Here is a 16,031-nt window from a genome sequence, read left to right as displayed (position 1 = left end):
CCTCCAGAACTGCGAGCAGTAAATGTCTATTATTTATAAATTACCCAGTCTCACGTATTCAGTTACAGCAGCACAGACAGACTAAGACAGACCCCAAGAGCAAACTGATCCCAGCTCTGCCTCTTCCGGGTAGTGTGGCCATGCACCTGTCTCTTAGCCTCTCTGAGCCTCCTCAGCCAAAAAACTGGGCGTCATTACAACATGCGCCTTGTGGGGCTGTTGGGACAGTGGAATGGGATGACGCTCCGAGCTTTGCATGCAGCCAGGGCTTGTTATCTGCACCCGCCAGATGTGGAGCCATGGTGGGTGACCCAAAGGCTTTTTAGAACCAAGATGAGGATGCTTGCCACTCAGAAAGGGAAAATCAAAGCTTGACATCTGTTTCCTGAAGGAGCTATTTGAGGTCCTGGGTCTTCTGGTAAAAACCAGAGAAAAATGCCCATGAGTCAGCAGAGCAGCTGTTGAGTTCCTCCCCTGCCCCTAGGCCGGCCTCCACACAAGTCTGTGCTGGATCCCGCCTCCTCATGGCCCCCTCCTCCAGGAAGCCCTCCAGGATCTCTTAGTCCTAGGCAGTGCCCTTTCAGTCGGACTCCTGGTCTTCCCAGTTCTGCTTTCTAACGTCACCCCCTCTAACCACAACATCTGGTCCTCTGGGGGCTGCCTACCAAGGTTCAGTCTCCTTTTGGCTCTTCCTCCTGTCCCCAGCCCAGGGACCACCAGTGCCTGCTAAGAATCTAGCGATTTTTTTGTTTGTTTATTGTTGTTGTTGTTGCTGTTGTTTTGAGACAGGGTCTCGCTCTGTTGCCCAGGCTGGAGTACAGTTGTCACCTTGACTCACTGTAACCTCCACCTCCCAGGCTCAAGCAATCCTCCCGCCTCAGCCCCACAAAAAGCTGAGACTACAAGCATGCGCTCCTATGCCTGGCTAATTTTTTTTCTTTTGTAGAGACAGGGCTTCACCATGTTGCCCAGGCTGGTCTTGAGATCCTGAGCTCAAGCGACCTACCCTCCTCAGCCTCCCAAAGGGCTGGGATTCCAGTAGGAGCCACCGCACCCGGTGCAGCAATTGTTGAAAAACATTTCCAAGGAGAGTCATTACATAAGGAGAAACTGAGGTTAGATGGAAGGCAGAACTTCCTCACTCAGAGAGTTGGGAGCCAGCCAAGGCAGAGGTCAGGGGAAATGAAGGACGAAGCCTTTCATCCCCCCAGTGACACCCGAAGACACAAGCCTGTGGGCTGGGCCACCTGAGACTCATGTCTACCGCTTCTGTTTCATGGAGCCCTTTGGTGGATGGATTCTGATTAGTGGAGAGCCGGCTACTGGACTCGTGTCAGCCTCAAGGGCATGGATGTCATCTTTTCTGAATCTGTGGACTCTAGCCGTGTTTTTGAGCCCAGAAAGCCAGCCCGGCCCTGGCTCAGCTCTGTGATGGGGGCCCTCCCCACCCGCAGACCACGGGGCAGCCACTTACCTCCCTGGAGCAGCAGCAGGAGCAAGGGGGCGGCCCAGCCACGCGGCATGCTGACTCCCACGGGCCTGCAAGAGACGTACAGTGGAGGGTGAGCCAGGCGGGCTCAGGGCTCCCCCGGCCTCCCCCTCATCCTGTCTCTTCCCAGGCAGACTTGCCCCTGATTCTTGGAACTGTCTTAAGAAAAATGCAAGATCCCGAGGGGCCTGTGGATGACCCCAAGAACTCCCACCTCTTAGAAATGGCAGATTCACCCCAAGAATCCCTTCTCCCACCTTCTTCCTGCCCCCGCCCCATCACGTCACAAATGCAAAGTGAATTTGTTTTATTATTTTATTTTAATATTTTTAGAGATGGGGTCATGTTCTGTTGCCCAGGCTGGAGTGCAATGGCGCAATCACGGCTCACTGCAGCCTCAACCTCCTGGGCTCAAGCGATCCTCCTGCATCAGCCTCCCGAGTAGCTGGGACCAAAGGCACGTGCCACCACGCCTGGCTAATTTTTAAAACATTTTTGTAGAGACGGCATCTTGCTATGTTGCCCAGGCTGGTCTCAAACTCCTGGGATCACATGATCCTCCTACCTCGGCCTCTCAAAGTGCTGGGATGACAGGCATGAGTCACCACGCCCAGCACAAGGTGAATTTAAAGAGGGAGGAGACTGCTGACTATTTTGCCCTTGCTGAGCCTATTGATGTAGCATTGTGTGTGAAATTAAACTTGTGTATTTATCTATCTAACAAAGAAAGAGGGAGGGAAAAAGAGAGGAAGGGAGAGAGAAAAGGAGAAAAAACTAGTTTGGAAAGGGGGATCTGCTGAGGAGCAATTTTGGATCTTCCTTCCTATAAACATCCATGTTGTAAAAAAAAGCCAGTAAATTGGCTTTTTTATGTTTATTTTTTAGACAAAGTCTCACTCTATCGCCCAGGCTGGAGTGCAGTGGCCCGATCTTGGCTCACTGCAACCTCTACCTCCCAGGTTCAAGCGATTCTCCTGCCTCAGCTTCCCAAGTAGCTGGGAATACAGGTGGCCGCCACCACGCCTGGCTAATTTTTGTATTTTTAGTAGAGACAGGGTTTTGCCATGTGGACTAGGCTGGTCTCGAACTCCTGGCCACAGGTGATCCACCCACCTCAGCCTCTCAAAGTGCTGGAATTACAGGCATGAGCCACTGCACCCAGCCATCAATAAATTGGCTTCTTACTGAATAATAAATCCAAAGTTAACCCACAAAGTTAACCACTGCTGAATACTTAAGATAAGGTTAGCCCAATAATGAGGCTCCTTACTCCATCACAAAGCCCAGATTAGCCCACTCGGGAGCATGCTAGGAAATCCAGGCCTGACCAAACAGAGACAACCTGACCTCCTAATTTGGGCCAGGATGGAGAAGGAACCTCTTTGGGGAGCAGAGTGAGTTTATCCAGAAAGAGTGCCCTCTACTGTCTTGGGCAGAGGAATGCCCCACCAGTCTGGCGATGCCAGGCTTCTCCTGGGACTTGTCTGTTTCACCCACCAGCTCTGTGTCTGTTTGAGGAAGTGCCAGCCAGAGGGCAGTGGTCCACCTGCCCAGACTCAGGAGCCCCTCCCAGACCAGCCCCTATAGACAAGAATGGAGCTAAAGCTAAACCTAAGAGGGATGCCCCATGCAGGACCCAAGTCACAGGCATGGCTTTCTCCAGACGCCATCCCTGACTCCACAAGGGGAAGATCCTCCTCCTCTGTGCCGGGGTTCCCAAAGATCCTACTCTGGCCCCATCCATAGTTCCCTCTGACCTCCCTCACAGAGCCATCAAAGAACCCTGGGGCAGGGCACAGGCTGGGGGGCCAGGAAGGTTCAGATGACCAGCTGTGTGGCTCCGGGCCAGTCCCTTGCCCTCTCTGAGCCTTGTAAAGTGGAAACAGCAAGGCCTGCTTCCAGGCTTGTGAGAATTCAAGGAGGTGATTTGCATAAAACCCTGCAGATGGCCCCCATCACATAAACACTCAAACAACAGCTGTAATTGATGGAGAAGGTAGAGCCTCAGAAACAGAGGGGGTCTCAGAATGATCTAGCCAAGAGTTGCCAAAATATCTCATATCCAAAATTTTGGCCATATTTGTATATTGTGTGCACTGTTGTTTATTTTAATACATATTTTAATATATTTTCTATAGATAAGCACACTTAAAAATTTAACTCCAGCATCATCCTAAGCAATAACATCACTACTCAAATAAAATAATGTTGAGGTAGATGCAGTTTCAACCTGCTTTTAGGAATATGAATCCTGTGTGATTCCAACCCCTGCAGAGGTCCTGTTATCACACTTTGAAGATGTGGCCTCTGATCGCAGGAGGGGGAGTCTGTGTCTGCCCCCTCACTATTCTGTCCACATCCATCACCCCAGCCACGGTGCGAGTCCTGACATAGCTCTGTCCCCGTCACTCCCTGATGGTTTTATCTTGACCACAGCACAGCAAAAAGTGCAAACTCCTTTGCCCAGATTCAATATTCCTCATCTCCAGCTTGACCAACATAGCAAGACCTTGTCTCTACCAAAAATAAAAATAGAAGTAAAAATAAGTTAGCCGGGTGCTGTGTGCCTGTGGTCCCAGCTATTCGGGAGACTGAGGAAGGAGGATCACTTGAGTGCCGGAGGTCCAGGCTGCAGTGAGCCATGATTGCACTATTGCACTCCAGCCTGAATGAAAGAGTGAGACCCTGTCTTTAAAAAAACAAACAGACAAACAAAAAACTCCTCATCCCTCCTAATTTCTTACCTCTGCCTACATCACAGAGCCCTAGGGATGTGGAGGGGGTACCTGCTGCTTCTGCCTGCCCGGCGTCTCTTCCCAAAGAGCTCCTCTATCTGAGCTGCCTCTAGTGGTTTGCCTGAGGCTGACTCCACCCCATGCTCCACAAAGTGGGCTCCTGACCCAGGCTTGGCCAATCAAAACACCCCATCTGTCTGACCACAGTGATTGCATCAGGGATGGATGTCAACCCAGGCAAGGCCAGTGAAAGCAGTCCTGAGATTTTTTTTCTAGAACTCTAGAAAACTGACACTTTTTTTGGTATCTTCTCAGAGCTTGTAGCCATCTTTGTCACCTCTTAGAGACAGCCTCCTTGAAAATGACAGCCATACTGAGAAATACAGGTCAGGAGTCCCCATGGCATCATGGGAGGTCCTGGATCCAGCCATATCTGATGTCCACCCTGTGGATTTCTCATTCCCATGAGCCAAAAACCACCTATGTTGCTTAATCATGTTGAATTCTATTTCTGTCACTTGCCACCAAAGATCCCTGACACAGTGGAGTTGAGAAAAGGGCTCAGAATTTGAAGCCAGAAGATCTTGAAGCAAATAGTAGCTCTTCTCTGGCTCTTTTATTCTCTGAACTCAGTTACCATCTCTGAAATGGGGACAATAGTGCTCACTGCACCTGGCAGTGAAGAAGAGGCTGTGAGAAAGCAGATGTGGTAGTGCTTCACGGACTGTGAAGTGCTGTACCAGTGCACGGGTTTCCTGCCATTACTGGCTGACTGCCCTGAATTACTCATCGTCTCCCCGGCAGCCCAGGCTTCGTCATGCATCTTTGCCTCTGCTGGAGCAGACTCCTGCCCTCCAACACCTTTCCCCTCCCATCCTCTCAACTCAACTTTCATGGTCCATGTGCTGTATCCCTGCAGCCACACTGGAGTGTTCCAGAACTCCTGCCACTAGCCTATTGCGTTTGAGGTTTTCACTGGTGCTACTATTAATTATCCACTTACTATTGATCTTTACCTTGCCTCCTATTTTTTACTCCAATAAACATGTCTCAAAAATATTATATCATGACCATCAGCAGATAACTGGCATGAAATAGGCAGTGTGCGCCATGCTGGTCAAGACACAGACTATGGAGCTGGCTGGTCTCAGTTCAAATCCCAGCTCTGCCACTTATAGGCTTTGTGGCCTTGGGCAGTTTGCTTAACCTTTCTGGGCCTCATCTGTAAAATGGGAGTAATGATAATCACAGCACCTGCCTCATAGGTCTTTGGGAGAATTAAATTAGTCAACATTTATAAAGCATTTAGAACAGTGCCTGGCATATAGCAGATATTATATAAGTGTTACTTAAACAAAACAATCAACTTACCATAAAACTAAATACAATACAACATAAAAACTAAATACAAGAAAAACAAAGGCAGTAATTGAATTTTAGTGACATGCTACTGCCTGCCTGAGAGTCCTAGAAACTGGAGATGTGGTTTGTCTTTGTTTAAAGTTAAGAAAGGGAGGCCGGGCACACTGGGTCATGCCTGTAATCCCAGCACTTTGGGAGGCCGAGGTGGGAGGATCATTTGAGGTCAGGAGTTCGAGACCAGCCTGGCCAACACGGCGAAACCCCATCTCTACTAAAAATACAAAAATTAGCCGGGTGTGATGGTGTGTGCCTATAATCCCAGCTACTCAGGAGGCTGAGACAGGAGAATTGCTTGAACCCAGGAAGAGGCGGAGGTTGCAGTGAGCAGAGATTACACCACTGTACTCCAGCCTGGGCAACAGAGCAAGACACTCTGTCTCAAAAAAAAACAAAACAAAACACAAAAAAAGAGAGAGTAGTGTTTAAGATGCGATAGCACCAAATTGAGAATCTTGCCTCCTCCATCAGCAGGGCAAGTGATGAAAGAGCCTACGCTTTCACTAGGGGATCCAGGGATATTTAACACTGTTTAAAATAAACTGCTCACTTCTGGGAAACATCAGCTTAAAAACACAGACTTTCTCCATCACTCCCTCCTCATGCTCCCACAGCACCAAATGGGGCCTACCCTAATTCCACTGCCTTCTCTGCCCCGAATCCATCCCCTTTTGGGTCTTTGCACGCAGGCTGACCCCTGAGGGCAACAGCACCTTATCCTCAGATACAGATCGGGCCACCATGTGTGTTTCCTACAAGGACAGAAGGTGTCTTAGGAGGCTTCCTGCTACAGGAGCCCCTTGATATGGTTTGGATATTTGTCCCACCCAAATCTCATGTTGAAATGTCATCCCCAATGTTGGAGGTGGGGCCTGGTGGGAGGTGATTGGATCATGGGGGCGGATTTCTCATGAATGGCTTAGTGCCATCCGCTTGGTGATGAGTGAGTTCACCTGAGATCTAATTGTTCAGAAGTGCGTGGCGCCTCCCCCTTTTGCTCCAGCTGTCGCTATGTGATGTGTCTGCTTCTGCTTCACCTTCAGCCTTGAGTAAAGGCTCCCTGAGGGCCTCCTTACCAGAAGCCGAGAAGATGCTGGCAGTATGCTTGTACAGCCTGCAGAACCATGAGCCAATTAAACCTCTTTTCTTTATAAATTACCCAGTCTCAGGTATTGCTTTATGGCAATGCAAGAATGGCCTGACACACCGCTGCAGCACCCAACCTCTGCAGTCTCCTACGGAGGAGTGAAGTGCACCTGACTTGGAGTGTGCCAGGTCCCAGCTGTGCGTCTTTGGGCAAGTTCTCTAACCCCTCTGATTCTCTGTTTTCTCATCCATAAAATGGAGGTCATCAATCTTTGCTGCAGGTTTGTCATGAGCATTAAAAGTGTCATCGAATTTGAAGTCCTGTAGGTGCATTTATCCACCAGTTTCAGTGCTGAGAAATGTTTCCTGGAGTTGCTGTAATTCACCCTAAAAGTTGACCAAATTTCAAGAGATTCTGGGGAAATGGAGAAGCTTGGGGCAGGAAATTAGATTGAAGTGAGTGCTATGGAGAATATAAGGTGCTTAACTTCATGGTCAACGTGGTGGCTCATGCCTGTAATCCCAATACTTTGGGAGGCCGAGGTGGGTGGATCACCTGAGGTCAGGAGTTCGAGACCAGCCTGGCCAACATGGTGAAACCCATCTCTACTAAAAATACAAAAATTAGCCAGGTGTGGTGGTGGGCACCTGTAATCCCAGCTACTCTGGAGGCTGAGGCAGGAGAATTGCTTGAACCCGGGAGGTGGAGGTTGCAGTGAGCCGAGATTGCACCACTGCACTCCAGCCTGGGTGACAGAGCGAGACTCCATCTCAAAAAAAAGAAAAAGAAGAGAAAAGAAATACAAAGAAAAACCACAATGACATACCATTTTAATTTTGTCGGATTGGCAAAAACTGAAAGTCTGATGACATCACATATTGCTCAGGATATGATATAATAGGAACTCTCATTTATAGCCAGAGGAAATGTAAATTATTACAACTGGTCTGGTAAAAAGTTTGGCATGACCTAATAAAAGCGAACACATGCCCTACCTAAAACCCAGTAACTTCACTCTTATGTAAACTGGTAAAGAAATTCTTCCTGCATGTCTATAGCAGCATTGATTTTAATAGTGAAAAATTGGAAACAATCTAAATAGCCATCATCAGGAGAGTGAAAAAATAAATCGCAATACTGTCACTCAGTGTAAACATGAATCATTTACAGCCACACACAACAAAGTGAATGACTCTCACAAACAAAATTTGGAGTGAAAAAAGGAAGTTAGAGAACAGCATAAGCATAATAACACCATTGACACCACACTGAAAACCATACAAAATCATCCTATATATTGTTTAGGTAAGCACACCCATCATAAAAATATTTAAAAATTCATGGGGATAATAACATCAAATTTTGAATAGTGTGGAAAAGGAGGGGGTGTGAGAAGGAGGAATGTTCAAGGGTCTCAACAGTTTGGTAAAGCTTGGTGAAGCTACCATGGGTGTTGATTATATTTTATGCCCTTTTGTATGTTCAAACTATTTCATACCATTTTAAATGTAAGTGAGGCTTAGTTTTGTAAAATAAAATATGGATGAGGGACTTCCACTTCTGGCTATAATGAAGTAGCTGTTGTCACACTAATCCTCCCACTGAGGGCAACTACTAAGCAGAAAAAAAAAAACTGCACAAGAGAGTGCCAACTTATATAGTACTTAAGAGAGGAAAAATGCATTGAAATTCTGCATGCAATTTCCCCTCAAATCATGTGCAAAGTCATTGAAAATAAGTAGCATGCCAAGAAACTTAGCAAAAAAACACCTGCTAATAGGTGGGAAAACTAAGAAGGAATTTTCACAGTTTTACAAGCTGAGGGAAGAATTAGAGTTCAGGGCCTGGCAAAAAAAAGATGGGCCCTGGTGAGTACCCAGCTATTTAGAAAATACTATTCCTTGGGAATAAGGAAAAATTAGAAATAGTTCATTCTTGACTGCATCAAGGTGTAATCTGCTTATATGCTATATGTCTGCTAGAAGAAAATTTAAATTGATCTAGAAAAAGTTAGCTTCATCCAAAGCCTCTATACTTTTTATACATAATGTCCAACTTTCAGTTAAAATTACAAGGTAAACCAACAAGCAGTATCAAATGATCAACAATGAAGATAAAATAGACAATAGAAAAGTTACTTAGGTGAATTGGAAAATGGCATTATCAGATATGATTTAAAATAACTATGATTAATGTGTTCAAAAATTCTATCAGAAATTTGGAACCTATTTAAAAAGTAGAAATCCTGGAACTGAAAAATATAATAACTGAAGTTTATAAGGACTGAAGAGATGGATTTGGCAACATACTAGTAACATCAGAAGAGAGGATTAGTAAACTGGAAGATTGGTCAATAGAAAATACCAAGATTGAAGCATGCAGAGAAAAAAAGTTCAAAAATACAGAAAAGAGCAAAAGAGACATAGAAGACATTGTGAAATGATCTAACATACATGCATTTGCAATTAAGAAGCAGAAGAGAGAGAAAACAAGTAAGAAGAAATAGCAGTGATCTTAAAATTTTTTTCCAAACTAACAAAAGACATTAAGCCACAGATTTAAATAGCTCTACAAACCACAAATAGGATAAATACAAAGAAAACCACATCTAGGCATATCATAGAAAAACTATTTTAAAAAATAAAAGACAAAGATATGCAGTATGCAGAAAAAAAAGACACTTCACCTTCAAGGAAGAAACAATAAGACTGGCAGGGGACTTTTTAACAAAATGATGGAAGACAGCAGACAATGGAACAACTTCTTTCAATGCTGAAATTTCAAAAGCCAATTTAGAATTTTATATCCAGAAAAAAATCTCTTAAAAAATAAAAGTAAGGTCAATATGATACAGACAGCTATAAAAATATTACAGTTAACATCATACTTAATGGTAAAGAAATGAAAGCTTTGCTCCTAAGATCATGAACAAGACAAGTATGTTCACTCTTGTGACTTTTATAAAACATTTTACTAGAGGTTCTAGCCAAGGCAATTAGGTAAGGAAAAGAAATAAAAGACTTTCAGATTGGAAAGGAAGAAGTAAACCATTTCTCTTTGCAGATAATATGATCTTGTATATACAAAACTAAAGGAATTTACACCTAAAACGAACAAAAACCAATTAGAGCTAATAAACAAATTTAGCCTAGTTGTAGAATATAAGATTAATAGACACAAATAATGATATTTTATACACACTGGCAATAAATAATCTGAAGATGAAATTAAGAAAGTGATTTCATTTACAATAATACAAAACAGAACAAAATGGTTAAAGTAAATTTAACAAAATTCATTAGTTATGTTAATATGAGATGAATTTGTTTATTAGTGTGAGACTTGTGCAATAAAACCTACAAATGTTATTGAAATAAATTATAGAAAACCTAAATAAATGGAGGATATACCATGTTCATAGATTGGAAAACTTAATGTTATCAAGATGACGCCTCAAATTGATCTACAGATTCAAAGTAATCTCTATAAAAAATCCCAGCTGGCTCTTTTTTTTTTTTTTTTTTTTTTTGCAGAAATTGACAAACTAGTCCTAAAATTTATAGGGAAATGTAAGGGACTAGAATAGCCAAAAAGGTTTTGAGAAAGAACACAGTTGGAGGAGTCAAACTTCCTTATTTCAAAGCTTACTACAAAGCTACACTTATCAACACTGTGGTACTGACACATAGATGTACATATAGATCAATGGGATTGAACTGAGAGTTCAGAAAGAAGTGCATATATTTATGTTTAACCGATTCTTGATGAGGGTGCCAAAACAATTCAATGGGGGAAAGAATAGTCTTTAAAACAAATGGTACCACACAAATGGATATCCACAATGCAATATAATGAAGCTAGATTTCTACTTCACACCGTATACAAAAATTTACTCAAAATAGATTAAAGACTAGATGTAAAAAGTAAAACTATTAAACTCTTAGAATAAACCTAGGTGTAAATCTTCATGACCTTGTATGAGACAATAATAGTTTTTTAAATATGACACAAAAGCATAAGTAAACAAAGAAAAAATAGATCTATTAAACTGTATCAAAATTTAAAATGTTTGTGCTTCAAAAAATACTATCAAGAAAGTAAAACTATAACATACAGCATGGGAAAAAAAGCATTTGCAAATCACGTATTTGTTAAAGGTCTGGTATTTAGAATATGCAAAGAATTCTTGCAACTCAAGATCTAAAAGGCAAGAATTAAAATTTAAAATGGGCAAAAGATTTGGATAGACATTTCTCCAAAGAAGATATCCAAACAACAAACACATGAAAAGGTGGCCATTGACATTACTCTCTAGAGAGATGCAAATCAAGAACATAATGAGATACCACTTCACATGCATTAGGATGGTAATAATAATAATCAATCACAAGTGTGAATGAGGGGGCGGAGGGTGAGAATGTAAAATGGTGCAGCCACTGTGGAAAACAGTTTTGCAGTTCTTCAAAATGTTAAATACAGTCACGTGCTGCATAATGATATTTCATTCAATGACAGACTGCATGTACATAGGCGGGCCCATAGGACTATAATGAAGGTGAATAATTCCTATTGTCTAGTGACGTCATGACACAACACTTTACTCATGGGCTTGTGATGATGCTGGTGGAAACAAATTTACTGCACTGCCAGTCATATAAAAGTATAGCATATGCAGGGCTAGGTGCGGTGGCTCACGCCTGTAATCCCAGCACTTTGGGAGGCCAAGGCAGGCAGATCATTTGAGGTCAGGACTTCAAGACCAGTGTGACAAACATGGTGAAACCCCGTTTCAACTAAAAACACAAAAAACTTAGCCAGGCGTGGTGACACATGCCTGTAGTCCCAGCTACTCAGGAGGCCGAGGCAGGAGAATCACTTGAATGGGGAGGCAGAGGTAGCAGTGAGCCGAGATTGCGCCACTGCACTCCAGCCTGGACAACAGAGTGAGACTCCGTCTCAAAAAAAAAAAAAAAAGATAGCATATACAATTATGTATTGTACATAATGCTTGATAATAATAATAATAATAATAATAATAATAATAATAAACTATGTTACTGGTGTATGTATTTACTATACTATATCTTAAATCACTATTTTAGGGTGTGCTCCTTGTACTTACTTAAAAAAAAATGTTGGAGGGGCACAGTGGCTTACGCCTGTAATCCCAGCACTTTGGGAGGCTGAGGCAGGCAGATCACTTGAGGTCAGGAGTTGGAAACCAGCCTGGCCAACATGGTGAAACCCCATCTCTACTAAAAATACAAAAATTAGCCAGGCACGGTGGTGTGTGCTTGTAATTCCAGCTATTCGTGAGACTGAGGCACAAGAATCGCATGAACCCAGGAGGTGGAGGCTGCAGTGAGCCAAGATTGTGCCACTGCACTCCAGCCTGGGTGACAGAGCAAGACTCTTAAAAACAAACAAAAAATGTTAACTTGTAAAACAGCCTCAGGCAGGTCCTTCAGGATGGATTCCGGAAGAAGGCATCATTATCATAGGAGATGCCAGCTCCATGTGTGTTTTTGCCACTGAAGACCTTCCAGTGGGACAAAATGTGGAGGTGGAAGACAGTCATATTGGTGATCTTGACCCTGTGTAGGCCTAGGCTAATGTGTCTGCCTGTGTCTTAGATTTTTTGTTTTTTGTTTTCTGGGTTTTTTTGAGATGGAGTTTTGCTCTTGTTGCCTAGGCTGGAGTGCAATGGCGTGGTGTTGGTTTTCCCGGGTTCAAGTGATTCTCCTGTCTCAGCCTCCCAAGTAGCTGGGATTACAGGCGCCCGCCACCATGCTTGGCCAATTTTGTATTTTTAGTAGAGATGGGGCTTTCACCATGTTGGCCAGGCTGGTCTCGAATTCCTGATTGCAGGCGATCCGCCCTCCTTGGCCTCCCAAAGTGCCGGGATTACGGGCATGAGCCACCATGCCCCGCGTGTCTTAGGTTTTAACAAAAAAAAATTTTTTTAAGTAAAAAAATAAAAAATAAAAAATTTTAAAATATAATATATAAAAAGGCTTTTAGAATAAGAATATAAAGAAAAATATTTTGTATAGCTGTACAATGTGTTTGTGTCTTAAGTGTTAGTACAAGAGTGCACGAAAACACTTAAGTGTTATTACAATAAGATAACTGTTATTACAAAAGTGTTATTCAAAAAGTTTTAAAAAGTTAAAATGTTTATAAAGAAAAAATGTTGGCGGGGCGCAGCGGCTCATGCCTGTAATCCCAGCACTTTGGGAGGCCAAGGCGGGCAGATCACGAGGTCAGGTGATCAAGACTATCCTGGCTAACATGGTGAAACCCCGTCTCTACTAAAAATACCAAAAAAATTAGCCGAGCGTGGTGGCGCGCACCTGTAGTCCCAGCTACTCTGGAGGCTGAGACAGGAGAATTGCCTGAACCTGGGAGGCGGAGGTTGCAGTGAGCTGAGATCGCGACACTGCACTCCAGCCTGGGTGATAGAGTGAGACTCTGTCTCAAAAAATGAAATAAAATAGGGCCGGGCGCGGTAGCTTACGCCTGTAATCCCAGCGCTTTGGAAGGGCGAGACGGGCAGATCACAAGGTCAGGAGATCGAGACCATCCTGGTTAGCACGTGAAACCCCATCTCTACTAAAAATACAAAAAATTAGCCGGGCGCAGTGGCAGGCGCCTGTAGTCCCAGCTACTTGGGAGGCTGAGGCAGGAGAATGGCGTGAACCCGGGAGGCGGAGCTTGCAGTGAGCCGAGATCACGCCACTGCACTCCAGCCTGGGCGATAGAGCGAACCTCCGTCTTAAATAAAATAAAATAACATAAATAAAATAAAATAAAATAAAATAAAATAAAATAAAATAAAATAAAATAAAATAAATAAAATAGGAAAAATGTTACAGTAAGCCAAAGTTAATTTATTATTTTAAAAATTCAAATAAATTTAGAGTAGCCTAAGAGTTCAGTGTTGATAAAGTTTACAGGAGTGTACAGCAATGTCCTGGGCCTTCACATTCCCTCAGCACTTAATCACTGACACCCAGAGCAACTTCGAATCCTGCAAACTGCATTCATGGTAAGTGCCCTACACAGGTGTGCCGTTTTTTCATATTTTATATTATGTTTTCACTGTACCTTTTCTATGTTTAGATACACAAATACTTACAATTGTGTTACAGTTGCCTACAGTATTCAGTACCGTATCATGCTGTGCAGGTTTGTAGCCAATTATAGGCTGTAAGATACAGCCTAGGTGTGTAGTAGGCTATACCACCTAGGTTTGTGTAAGTGCACTCTATGACGTTCACACAATGACAAAATTACCTAATGACACATTTCTCAGAATGTATCCTCGTCATTAAGCAATGTATGACTGTTTCCATATGACCAAGAAATTTCACACCTAGTTATATAGTGAAAAGAATTGACCAGATGCAGTAGCTCATGCCTGTAATCCCAGCATACTGGGAGGCCAAGGCGGGAGGGTTGCTTGAGCCCAGGAGTTTGAGACTAGCCTGGGTAACATGGCAAGACCTCATCTCTACAAAAATTAAAATGAAAACATTTTCTGGGCATGGTGGTATGTACCTGTGGCCCCAGCTACTCAGGAGGCTAAGGTGGGAGGATCACATGAGCCCAAGAGTTTGAGGCTACAGTGAGCTGTTTTCACACCATTGCAGTCCAGCCTGGGTGACAGAGTGTGACCCTGTCTCAAAAAAAAAAAAAAAAGAAAAGAAAAAAGAAAGAAAAAGGAAAGAAAACAATTGCGGATATATGTCCAGAAAGAAATGTACAAACCATTGTAGACAAATATTCACAGCAACATTATTCATAATACCAAAAAACTGGAAACAAGCAAAATTTCTATCGACTGGTGAATGGATAAAGAAATGTAGTATATCCATGCAGTAGAATGTTATTTAGCCATATAAGGGAATGAACTACTGATACGTGCTACAAAATGGATGAACTTTAAAAATTCATGCTAAAGTAAAGACACCAGACACAAAAGGCCTCATATTGTATGACTCCATATGTATGAAATGTCCAGCATTGGCAGATCCATAGAGACAGAAAGTAGGTTAGTGGTTGCCAGGAGCTGAGGCTGAGGGGAGGGGGGATAGAGAGTAACAGCAATGGATGTAGGTTTGTTTTTGGAGTGATGAAAATATAGAGTTAGTGGTGATGACTGCACAACTTTGTTGAATTGCACATCTTAAGAGTACATTTTCAGTTTTGTGAATTACATCTGAAATACAGATTTTTGAAAATGAAGGCAAAATAAGGATTTTTTTTCAGACAAAAATAAGTAAGAGATTTTGTCACTGATAGACCTGCATCAAGAGATATACAACAGTGAGTTTTTCAGGTAAAAGAAAAATAATTCCAGATGGGAAGCAAGTTACTGTAGGGTGAAATGAAGAGCAACAGAAAGTACTCTAAATATATGAATTAGGCTGGGTGCGGTGGTTCACGCCTGTAATCCCAGCACTCTGGGAGGCCTAGGTGGGTGGATGACCTGAGGTCAGGAGTTCGAGATCAGCCTGGACAACATGGCAAGACCCAGTCTCTACTAAAAACACAAAAAATTAGCCAGGTGTGGTGGCGCAAACCTGTAGTGTAGGCTACTAGGGAGGCAGAGGCAGGAGAATCGCTTGAATCCGGAAGGTGGAGCTTGCAGTGAGCTGCAACTCCAGCCTGGGTGAGAAAGTGAGACTCCAGCCTGGGTGAGAAAGTGAGACTCTGTATCAAAATAAATAAATAAATAAGTGAATTACTATGATTTTTAATTTCTTAACATACTAATGATGTAAACTATATGCAGAATTAAAATACACGACCATGAAACCCCAAAGGTAAGAAGAGGTGAATAAAGTTAAAGAGGACTTTGTACAAGAGGACTTCAAATTGTACAAGAGGACTTCAAAAAGCTCATGGAAACATGGAATTAAAGATAACAATTAAAAAATAAACTCTATTTCTCAACATAAATTCAGTCAAGGTCAAGGCACTTTTGTAAGTGATGATACCAGGCACATAGTCCATCTCCAAAGAACTGGGGGGTCCTGGGAATATAGCCATGTCAATGCAGGCTTTTTTACATTATTAACTAAAGAAAAATGGGTGATCGTTAAAGATTGCTTAAGATTAGGAGACAAAAAGAAGTCAGAAGGAGCCAAACAGGACTTTAAGGTGGATGCCTAATTTCTCATGGAAGCTGTAAAATTGCCCTTATTTGATGAGAAGAATGAGCAGGAGCATTGCTATGGTGGAGGACTCTCTGGTGAAGCTTTCCTGCGCGTTTTTCTGCTAAAGCTTTGGCTAATTT

The 16,031-nt window shown here is 43.0% G+C and overlaps 1 protein-coding gene across 5 annotated transcripts in view, besides 2 other annotated features; it reads right to left on the bottom strand.

Annotated features, from left to right (window-relative positions):
• IL21R (interleukin 21 receptor) overlaps nucleotides 1-16,031 on the bottom strand; it is a 49,869-nt gene that overhangs the window by 20,448 nt on the left and 13,390 nt on the right. For 3 of the 5 annotated variants that reach the window (XM_011545857.4, NM_181079.5, NM_181078.3), the window contains one exon: nucleotides 1,475-1,539. In XM_011545857.4, coding sequence (XP_011544159.1) covers nucleotides 1,475-1,539 — 65 coding nt within the window. Of the gene's footprint in view, nucleotides 1-1,474; nucleotides 1,540-4,233; nucleotides 4,325-15,315; nucleotides 15,446-16,031 lie in introns of those variants that run through there. The other 2 variants (XM_017023257.3, NM_021798.4) reach the window with 2 other exon arrangements.
• Nucleotides 390-439: an enhancer, noted in NCBI's record as "active region_10625". NCBI's record gives its function as "activates an Ori minimal core promoter by ATAC-STARR-seq in GM12878 lymphoblastoid cells {active_cell/tissue: GM12878}" and the evidence as "EXISTENCE:reporter gene assay evidence [ECO:0000049][PMID:35858748]".
• Nucleotides 9,361-9,561: a silencer, noted in NCBI's record as "peak2542 fragment used in MPRA reporter construct". NCBI's record gives its function as "represses an SCP1 promoter by STARR-seq MPRAs in K562 erythroleukemia cells {active_cell/tissue: K562}" and the evidence as "EXISTENCE:reporter gene assay evidence [ECO:0000049][PMID:32103011]".

Source organism: Homo sapiens, chromosome 16 (genome assembly GCF_000001405.40).
Source record: "Homo sapiens chromosome 16, GRCh38.p14 Primary Assembly".
Lineage (NCBI taxonomy): Eukaryota > Metazoa > Chordata > Mammalia > Primates > Hominidae > Homo > Homo sapiens.
This window is presented reverse-complemented; position numbering and strand designations above follow the sequence as displayed.